The following is a 10,866-nucleotide window of genomic DNA, read 5'->3' on the forward strand; positions in this document are numbered from 1 at the left end:
TTGAGTTGTTGTTGTTGTTGTTGTTTGTTTGTTTTTTTCATAGAGTTGTTGCAAAACAGAGTCAGTTGACTCCTATAGAATAGCCCACATTCTGGATATATTGGTTTGCTTCCATTTATGTCATTTAACTTGTTTCTCTACGTTTCCTATAAATGTAAGTAAGCTCTAAAAGCTTCAAAGTTTGGAAGTTTTGGGCAAGAATATGTCAGAGATGGTTCTGTGTGCTTCGTTTTGTGTCACATCAGGAAGCTCACAGTGCTTGGTTGTCAAAATTGATCCATGGGTTCAGCTGGCCTGATCCCTGTATTATAAGGTTCCCTATGAACCTTTCACTTTCTTTTTTTTTTTTTTTTTTTTGAGACAGTATTACTCTGTTGTCCAGGCGAGAGTGCAGTGGCGTGATCTTGGCTCACTGCAGCCTCCGCCTCCTGGGTTCAAGCAATTCTCCCGTCTCAGCCACCCGAGTAGCTGGTATTACAGGCGCGTGCCACCACGCCCGACTAATTTTTGTATTTTTACTAGAGACGGTTTCACCATGTGGCCAGGCTGGTCTTGAACTCCTGACCTCAAGTGCTCTGCCTGCCTTGGCCTCCCGAAGTGCTGGGATTACAGGCACGTGCCACCACACCCAGCCAACCTTTCACCTTTTGATTTCATTCCTAAATGATACCTGAATCTCTTATTTCATAAAGGATTGTAAAATGGTGGTTTTTCTTATTCCTTTACTCCTTTCACATTAGTTGGAATTCTTCTGTACTGTGCGACTCTTTAGTTGGACTCTTCCACTAATATCAAGTAGGGCTATTTGATCATTTGCATAGGCAAGACAGGATAAATATGTAATTCTTTTAATTGTGAATTTTGAGAATAAGGAATTGATGCTCTAGTTACTTCTAGTATTTCATGTTTGATGCTATTTCAAATGAAATGTTTTCTTGATTTTATTTTTGAGTTGTTCATTGGTAGTATATAGAAATACAATTGAATTTTGTACATTGATCTTGCAACCTTGGTAAATGCTTGAGTTTTAGTAGTTTCTTTTTTTTTTTTCTTCCAGCTTTTTAGTTCAGGGGTACATGTGTAGGATGTGCAGGTTTGTTACCTAGGTAAAGGTGTCCCATGGTGGTTTACTGCACAGATCATCCCATCACCTAGATATTAAGCCCAGCATCCATTAGCTATTCATCCTGATGTTCTCCCCCTCCTCCTACACCCCATTTTTTTTTTTCTTTTCTGTTTATTTTTTTAGAGACAAAGTCTCACTCTATTGCCCAGGCTAGAGTGCAGTGGCACCATCATAGCTCACTGAAGCCTTTGAACTCCTGGGAACAAGTGATCTTCCCACCTCAGCCTCCCCAGTAGCTGGGACTGAGGCAGAAATTTAAAAATAAATATGCATTCATTCACTCCAAGAAAAGTAACAGGCAAGGCAAGGGTTAAAAAGAAAAGAACAAGTTTTCCTCTGCCTAGCAAGCTCACTTCAAGGACAGTTATAAGATAACGCTGTTTGAGAAGCCAAGGCCAAAGGAATGGACTCCAGACACCCCCTCTTCCAGAGCAAGGTTGAAGGAAAAAAAAAGGAAAGACAAATTCCTTTACTGTTACTCCTTTCCCTGGCTTCTTAAGCATAACTGTGTTTTGCAAATGTCTGTATTTAGCCAGTTCTTATTTTTCTTTCAATGCAGCTATAAGGTCACCAGCTATGCAAGGCCACAAGTTATGCTATGCTATAAAGTATGTGACCTGTCATGATTAACTGCTTTTGTTTTACTTTTGTAAGTCCGCTTACAAAAACCCCACTCCGTCTTTGTTTAATGCTCAGCTTTTTGGATGTGAATCCACTGAGCTGGTGCGTACCTAAAATAAACAATCCTCCTGTTCTCCGTATCAGTCTCTCCAGTCCTCAGTTTCCTGCAATAGGACTACAGGCTCACACCACCACATCTAGCTAATTTCTATTATTTTGTAGAAATGGAGTCTTTGTGTTGCCTGGGCTCGTCCTGAACTCCTGGCCTCAAGTGGTATTCCCACCTTGGCCTCCCAAAATGTTGTTGGGATTACAGGCATGAGCCACCACACTTGGCTGAGTTTTAGTAGTTTTTAAAAAATAGATTTCTTAGTGTTTTCTACATAAAAGATCATGTCATCTGAGAGTAAAGATAGTTTTGCTTCTGCCTTTCCAAGCTAGATGCCTTTAATTTCCTTTCTTTCTTGCTTTTTTTTGAGACATGGTCTCCCTCTGTTGCTCAGGTTGGAGTGCAGTGGCATGATCATGGTTCACTGCAGCCTTGACCTGGGCTTGGGCAGTCCTTCCACATCAGTCTCCCGAGGCTGGGACTACAGGCACATGCCCAGCTTTTTTTTTGAGTCTCGCTGTGTTGCCCAGGCTGGAATACAGTGGCGCAATCTCAGCTCACTGCAACCTCCACCTCCCAGGTTCAAGTGATTCTCCTGGCTCAGCCTCCCAAGTAGCTGGGATTACAGGCATACACCACCACACCCAGCTAATTTTTGTATTTTTGGTAGGGACGGGTTTTCACCATGTTGGCCAGGCTAGTCTTGAACTCCTGACCTCAAGTGATCTGCCCGCCTTGGCCTCCCAAAGTGCTGGGATTACAGGCATGAGCCACCGTGCCTGGCCCCCAGCTAGTTTTTTCAAAAAATTGTTATAGAGACAGGGTCTTGCCATATTGCCCAGGCTGGTTTCACACTCCTGGGATCAAGCAGTCTTCCTGTCTCAGCCTTCCAATGTCGGGATGACAGGCATGAGCCACTGCACCTGGCCTTAATTTCCTTTTTTTTTTTTTTTTTTTGGAGACTGAGTCTCCCACTGTCACCCAGGCTGGAGTGCAATGGCGTAATCTGGGCTCACTGCAGCCTCTGCCTCCCGGGTTCAAGAGATTCTATTGCCTCAGCCTCCTGAGAAGCTGGGATTACACGCGTGAGCCACCATACCCGGATAATTTTGTATTTTTAGTAGAGACAGTGTTTCAGCATGTTGGCCAGGCTGGTCTTGAACTCCTGATCTCAGGTAATCCACCTGCCTTGGCCTCCCAAAGTGCTGAGATTACAGGCATGAGCCACAGTGCCCGGCCTACTTTCTTTTTCTGGCTAGAACCTTGAGTACAATGTTGAATAGAAGTGGTGAGGCCGGGCGCAGTGGCTCACACCTGCAATCCCAGCACTTTGGGAGGCCGAGTCAGGCAGATCACCTGAGGCCAGGAGTTCTAGACCAGCCTGGCCAACGTGGTGAAACCCCATCTCTACTAAAAATACAAAATTATCCAGGTGTGGTAGCTCATGACTGTAATCCCAGCTATTCAGGTGGCTGAGGCATGAGAATCGCTTAAACCCAGGAGGTGGAGGTTGCAGTGAGTCGAGATCGCGCCACTGCACTCTAGCCTGGGTGATAGAGCGAGAATCTGTCTCAAAAAAAAAAAAAGTGGTGAGAGTACGTATCCTTGTCTTTTTCCCAGTCTTAGGGGAAAAGCATGTATTCTTTCATGATTAATTTTTTTTTTTTAAGACAAAGTCTTACTCTGTTGCCCAGGCTGGAGTGCAGTGGTGTGATCTTGGCTCACTGCAACCTCTGCCTCCTGAGTTCAAGCGATTCTCCTGCCTCAGCCTTCCGAGTAGTGGGGATTATAGGCGCTCGCCACCATGCCTGGCTAATTTTTGTTTTTTTTAGTAGAGATGGGGTTTCACCATGTTGGTCAGGCTGGTTCCGAACTTCTGACCTGAAATGATCCACCTGCCTCAGCCTCCCAAAGTGCTGGGATTACAGGTGTGAGCCACTGCACCTGGCCTTTCATGATTAAATTTGATGTTAGCTGTAGTTTTTTCATAGATGCCCTTTATCAGATGAAGGAATTTACCTTCTCTTCCTAGTATGTTGAGAATTTTTATTATGAATGGGTATTGGATCTTGTCAAACACCTTCGTGTGTCTGTTGAGATGATCTTGTTTTTGTACTGTATGCTACTAATTTTACTGCTAGTAGTTGGTTTTTGGATGTAAAACCAACTTTGTGTTTCTAGGGTAAATCCCATTTGGTCAGGGTGTATAGTCCTATTTATGTGGTGCTAGACTTGGTTTTGTCATAATTTGTTAAGAATTTTTACAGCTGGCTGGATGTGGTGGCTCATGCCTGTAATCTCAGCACTTTGGGAGGCCAAGGCAGGAGGATTGCTTGGGCCTAGGAGTTCTGGACCAGCCTGGGCAGCATAGGGAGACCTGTCCTCTACAAAAAATAATAAATCAGTAAGAGAGAGGGAGGGAGGGAAGGAAGGAAGGATGAGAGGAAGGGAGAGATAGAGAAGGAGGGCGGGAGAGTGGAAAGGAAGGAGGAAAAGGAGTCTGGATGTTCATGAGCGATATTGGTCTGTAATGTTTTCTTGTGATATCTTTAGCTTTTCTATGAGGGTAATTATACTGGCCTCCCTGGTTCAAGTGATTCTCATGCCACAGTTTCTTGAGCAGCTGGCACTACAGGCGTCCACCACCAATGTCTTGTTAATGTTTGCATATTTTTTAGTAGAGATGGGGTTTTGCCTTGTTAGGCTGGTCTTGAACTCTTGGCCTCCAGTGATTCACTTGCCTTGGCTTCCCAAAGTACTGGGATTATAGGTACGAGCCACCGTGCCTGGCCTGGTTGTTATTTTTGGAGCTTCTCATGCTGTATTTATGCTTTTGACATGACCCATTTGTCTTGTTATAGCCTCTCTGCTTTCTAACACAACAACAGTTCCCAGGCTTACCTTGGACTTGGAATCAGCTATTCCTCCATGGAGTCCTGGTTCCTTATAGTTGGAACCACAGTCTGGGTGCCATGTGCCCGTTGCTGTTAGGTTGTCATCGTTGGCAGGGCGCAGTGGTTTATGCCTGTAATCTTGGCACTTTGGGAGGCTGAGGCGAGCAGATCACTTTAGCCCACGAGTTCGAGACTAGCCTGGGCAACACAGTGAAGCCCCGTTTCTACAAAAAAAAAAAAATACAAAAATTAGCTGGGTGTGGTGGCATACACCTGTAATCCCAGCTACTTGAAAGGCTGAGGCATGAGGATCTCTCGAACCCAGGAGGTGGAGGCTGCAGTGAGCCGAGATGCACCACTGCACTCCAGCCTGGGAAACAGAGCGAGACTGCGTCTCAAAAAAATAAATAAATAAAAAGGTTGTTACTGTTTCTAGAACTTTTCGGTGGAAAGAACTAAAGACATATTTTTGAAAAGAAAATAATTGGTTCATGTTGATAATTCCAATTTAAATTTTCACATTAAACAATTTTCAGGGGATTTTTTTGTACTTTATTTTTTTCTTACATCGAAAATCTTGGTTCATAACATTAATACAATATTGTTTCAAAATGATAATACCAATATTATCAATTTGTCTACAGAATGAAGTTTAAGACTTTTGGAGCTGTGGTTCTTAGAATAATACTATGTTTAAATACCCTTTAAATCATTGTTTTAATATATCACCAGCTTGATATGTAGATTTGCTTCAGTTTCTTTTTCAAAAAGCCTTGATTATAGGTGTGTCTCTTTACCATGTTCCCTCCCTCCTTCTCTTATAGGTATAAACACTTTTTATTTCCTATTTGGTTTACTTTTCCAGTGGTTCTTTTTGCATATACAAGCAAATGCAGGTTATTTAAGTTGAGATATAGTTCACATACCATAAGATTCATCTCAAAAAAGTGTGCAGTCCGGCCGGGCATGGTGACTCATGCCTGTAATCCCAGCATTTTGGGAGGCCGAGGTGGGTGGATCACCTGAGGTCAGGAGTTCAAAACCAGCCTGGCCAACATGGTGAAACCCCATCTCTACTAAAAATACAAAAATTAGCTGGGTGTGGTGGCATGTGCCTGTAATCCCAACTACTCAGGAGGCTGAGGTGCAAGAATCACTTGAACCTGGGAGGGGGAGGTTGCAGTGAACCGAGATCATGCCACTGCACTCCAGCCTGGGTGACAGAGTGAGACTCCATCTAAAATATAAAAAGAAGAAAAGGGTGCAACTAAGTGATTTTTAGTAGTAATATAATTATCCCTTGTTATCTGTGGTGTATAGGTTCCAGGACCCCACAGATACCAAAATCCACAAATACTCAAGTCTCTTACATAAAATGGCATGGTATTTGCATATAACCTACACATATCCTCCCATATGCTTTAAATCATCTCTAGATTACTGATAGTACCTAATACAACGTAAATGCTATGTGAATAGTTATGCTATATTGGTTATTTGTATTTTTTATTGCTATATTGTTATTTTTTATTTATTTATTTTTTTAGATGGAGTCTCGCTCTGTTGCCCAGGCTGGAGTGCAGTGGTCCACGATCTTGGCTCAATGAAACTTCCACCTCCTGGGTTCAAGTGATGCTCCTGCCTCAGCCTCCCAAGTAGCTGAGATTACAGGCATGTGCCTGGCTAATTTTTATATTTTTAGTAGAGACAGGGTTTCACCATGTTGGCCAGGTCTTGGAACTCCTGACCTCAAGTGATCTACCTGCCTTGGCCTCCCAAAGTACTAGGATTACAGGCATGAGCCACTGCGCCTGGCCTGTTATTTTTTATTTTTATTTTTTCTGAATATTTTTTATCTGCTTGGTTGAATCAATGGATGTGGATGGCCAACTATATATTCATAGTTTTACAGTTTTCTCTACTGTCCGACTCCACAACATTTCATCATCCCAAAAAGGATCCCCATATCCAGGAGATGATTAAAAAAAGAAAAAGAAGTCCCATTATTAGTATCATTGACCATGTCTCTCTTTCTCCAGCCCCTGGCAACCATTAATCTGCTTTCTGTGTCTGGATTTGCCTGTTCTGGACATTTCATATGGCCTTTTTTTTTTTTTTTTTTTTTTTTTTTTCCCCTAAACGGAGTCTTGCTGTCTCCCAGGCTGGAGTGCAGTGGCGTGATGTCGGCTCACTGCAAGCTCTGCCTCCTCGGTTCACGCCATTCTTCTGCCTCAGCGTACCGAGTAGCTGGGACTACAGGCGCCCGCCACCACGCCCGGCTACCTTTTTGTATTTTTAGTAGAGATGGGGTTTCACCGTGTTAGCCAGGATGGTCTTGATCTCCTGACCTCGTGATCCTCCCGCCTCAGCCTCCCAAAGTGCCTGGATTACAGGAGTAAGCCACCGTGCCCGGCCTTTTTTTTTTTTTTTTTTTTTTTTTTTTTTGACAGAGTCTCACTCTGGCTCAGGCTAGAGTGCAGTGGCATGATCTTGGCTCACTGCAACTTCCACCTCCTGGGTTCAAGCAATTCTCCTGCCTCAACCTCCCAAGCAGCTGGGATTATATGCGCCCGCCACCACGCCTAGCTAATTTTTGTAGAGATGCGGTTTCACTATGTTGGCCGGGCTGGTCTTGATCTCCTGACCTCAAGTAATCTGCCCGCCTCGGCCTCCCAAAGTGCTGGGATTACATGTGTGAACCACTGCACCTGGCTAAAATAAATTTATTTTAGATTCAGGGGGTACATGTGCAGGTTTGTTACAAGGGTATATTCCAAGATGCTGAAGTTTGGGCTACTAATGACCCTGTTGACCAAGCAGTGAACATAGTACCTGATAGGTAGTTTTTCAGCCCTTGCCCCGTAGCCGCTTTTGGAATCCCCAGTGTTTATTGTTCCCATCTTTGTGTCCATAAGTACCCAGTGTTTAGCTCCCGCTTATAAGTGAGAACATGGTGTTTGATTTTCTGTTTCTGTGTTAATTTGCTTAAGATAATGGCCTCCAGCTGCATCCATGTTGCTGCAGAGGACATGATTTTGTTCTTTTTTATGGCTGCATAGTATTTCATGGTGTGTATGTGCCACATTTTCTGTATCGTATTTACCATTGATGGGCACCTGGGTTGATTCCATGTCTTTGCTGTTGTGAATAGTGCTGCATTGAACATGTGAGGGCAAGTGTCTTTTTGGTAGAGCAGTTTATTTTCCTTTGGGTAGATAGCCAGTAATGGGATTGCTGGTTCAAATGGTGATTCAGTTTTTAGTTCTAAGCTTTGTAATATTCCACCCTGTTTCTATTGTATAGGTTTTTTTTTTTTTTTTTTTTTTTTTGCTATGCAGGACTACTGCAGTATCTATAGCTTTTTAGTCAGTCTCTGTGATGAATATTTACGTTGTTTCCAGTATTTAGCCATTTAAAATAATGTTGCCGTGATGAATAACCTTGTGCACAGAGTATTTCACATTTTGCTGCTGTAATTTTGGGACATATTCCTAGAAGTGGGATTCCTAGGTCAAAGGGCAAGTGCATCTACAATTTTTCTAGATCTGGTCAGATTCCCCCAAAGAGGTTTTTGTATTTTGCATTCCCAGCAAAATACAATCAGCAATGATGATTGCTGTACCATGTGTTTGTCAATTGTGAATTTGTTCCTAGCATTTAGAAATTGGGAGATTCTACTTAAAAATCCTTATTTCCAGTGTCTTAAAAAAAAATCAGAGAATCTGCCTTAATCTACCCATGGCAACAGTTGGCTAGAGCTGAATAACAGCTGCCCCTTTTCTAGGTACTCTCTAGGTTACTGCAGCCCCCACTTGGCCATTTTACTTACTTTTGCTACCTATCAGTCTCCTATAGACATGAGTTTTTGACCCCTGCTCTAAGTATGGTTTTCTGGGTAGGTAGAATGGAGACGGAGAGTTTGGGACTTGAAGACATAGAGGACAATTTAGATTATTATGTTGTAAGAGCCACCAGTGTGAATGTTGATGACCCTAAAGAGGGTGGCAGGGAATATGACAAGGGGATATTAGGAACACAGGATTGAAATCCTTGAGGAAAGCACATGTCCTAGAGGTCCATGGAAGACTAACTGAAAAAGAAGGCATATTTTTTGTGGTTGCCATGGTCCTATACCAAAGAGGTTTTGTGAAGGCAGCATTACAGAAGGTCTGGAAAGGACCAGCAGCTGGGAGCAGGGAGTGTGCTAAAGCCCTCCTGGTGTACTCTTCCTGCCTTCCCCCATATACTGAAGTTTGAGAGGCTGGGAAGGTGCGGAATGGGAAAAGGAGCAGCTGCTTATGTTCAGTTTAACATTCTCTGGGTTTCTCCATCTAGGTCTTGAGTTCATTCTCTTCCTGTCCTTTTGGCTTCCTTGTTTAACCTGGTCCCTGTTTCAGGAGAGAAGCCTCATCAGTGCCAAGTCTGTGGGAAGACCTTCTCTCAGAGTGGAAGCAGGAATGTGCATATGAGAAAGCATCACCTGCAGCTGGGAGCAGCTGGGAGTCAAGAGCAGGAGCAAACTGGTGAGGAGGGTGGGCATAGTGGAACGCTGTACTACTTCTAGGGTTCCAAGAGCCAAATCACTGTCCTGCCTGCTTATCTGGAAATTTTCTGATTCTGTTTTGGGTAGATAGACCTGGTCTCATTTGATGGGCTGATGGTTTCCAAACATAGCTATACAGTAGAATCATCTGCAACCTTTTAAAATTTATATACTTTTTGTTGCTTGTCCGCCCACCAATAAAACAAAGCAATCTGATAAATGAGATAATTTGCAAGATCCTAGAATCTGTAGTTTTAAAAGTTTCCCTAGTGAGTTTGATGGTAACTAGTGCTGATCCATGAACAAGCATTTGAGTAACACAGTGATAAAAGATTTCCACATGGGAAGAGTTTAAGCTTTTTAATTTTTTTAGATGGAGTCTTGCTTTGTCACCCAGGCTGGAGTGCAGTGGCGCCATCTCGACTCACTGCAACCTCTGCCTCCTGGGTTCAAGCAGTTTTCCTGCCTCAGCCTCTTGAGTAGCTGGGATTATAGGCAGGTGCCACCACACCTGGCTGATTTTTATATTTTTGTAGAGACGGGGTTTCACCATGTTGGCCAGGCTGGAAGCATATTTTATTTACCAGTCATGACTACCTTTTTGCCCTGCCTGAAATTTGATAACTCTTTTTAATTCTTATTCCTTCGCCATATCTTTCCTTAATTATTCCAAATATTCCTTTCTAAAGATCCACCTATCCTGTTTCATATGCTAATTCTTCAGACGCTGAACACAAGCAAGGATCATTATCTTCTAAGGCTTACTCTTTCCCTTCTAGGTTTATTCTTGTTTCTCGAAAGTAGGTGAAATAGGGGGTGGCATCCCATCTATAGGTTAACTTCTAGTAATGAAAGAGAAGGCCAGCTTCTGTTGAAAGAAAATGAGGACCAGGCACAGCCTTGATTGCTGTATGTCTCTCACAACCTATTCTCTGTGCAGCTGAGCCACTAATGGGCAGTAGTTTGCTTGAAGAGGCTTCAGTACCCAGTAAAAACCTGGTGTCTATGAATTCCCAGCCCAGCCTTGGTGGAGAGTCCTTGAACCTACCAAATACCAATTCTATCCTGGGAGTTGATGATGGTAAGACTTCCAACTCTCCTTTATTTGGGAAAAATGGGCTGCAACTAGGGGCTAAGGAATGGGGTGTCTCCACAATGTATGTTTAAATCTCATTTCTTATGAGTAGCTGTGGTATGAGTAGCATTTGTGTTCTTATTCTCTGGGGTGGATTAGTCAATCTGTTTAAAAAAAAATTTTTTTTCATTGAAGATAATATAATAAAAGAATAAAAAGAAAAAATTCTTAAGAAAAAATTATTCCTAATCCTAGCATCCTAGCCCAACTATTTCTATCTTTCCTATTGCAGTTATGGAAGAACTTAACTTTTAGAACATTTAAACAGAACATAACCAGGTTTTACAGAGGAGATATAAAGCAATTTCTCCATACCTTCAAAAGCCATATCTTCTGGAGAAAAGAAAGGGCTCTCTAGGAAACACTTGCTCCTCTCTGGTATAGAAATTTCACCCAAGTTACACAGGCCAGGCCCTCTTCTCTGAAAAACTTAACAGG

At 42.8% G+C, this 10,866-nt stretch overlaps 1 protein-coding gene across 6 annotated transcripts in view; it reads left to right on the forward strand.

The window, feature by feature from the left end:
* Positions 1 to 10,866, forward strand: part of ZNF410 (zinc finger protein 410) — a 45,663-nt gene that overhangs the window by 24,974 nt on the left and 9,823 nt on the right. For 5 of the 6 annotated variants that reach the window (NR_040251.2, NM_001242924.2, NM_021188.3 and 2 more), the window contains 2 exons: positions 9,148 to 9,273; positions 10,234 to 10,374. Coding sequence is in view for 5 of the 6 variants with exons in the window: in NM_001242924.2 (NP_001229853.1) it covers positions 9,148 to 9,273; positions 10,234 to 10,374 (267 nt within the window). In the remaining variant the exon portion in view is untranslated. The remainder of the gene's footprint in view (positions 1 to 9,147; positions 9,274 to 10,233; positions 10,375 to 10,866) is intronic. The other variant, NM_001242926.2, reaches the window with a different exon arrangement.

Source organism: Homo sapiens, chromosome 14 (assembly GCF_000001405.40).
Source record: "Homo sapiens chromosome 14, GRCh38.p14 Primary Assembly".
Classification (NCBI taxonomy): domain Eukaryota; kingdom Metazoa; phylum Chordata; class Mammalia; order Primates; family Hominidae; genus Homo; species Homo sapiens.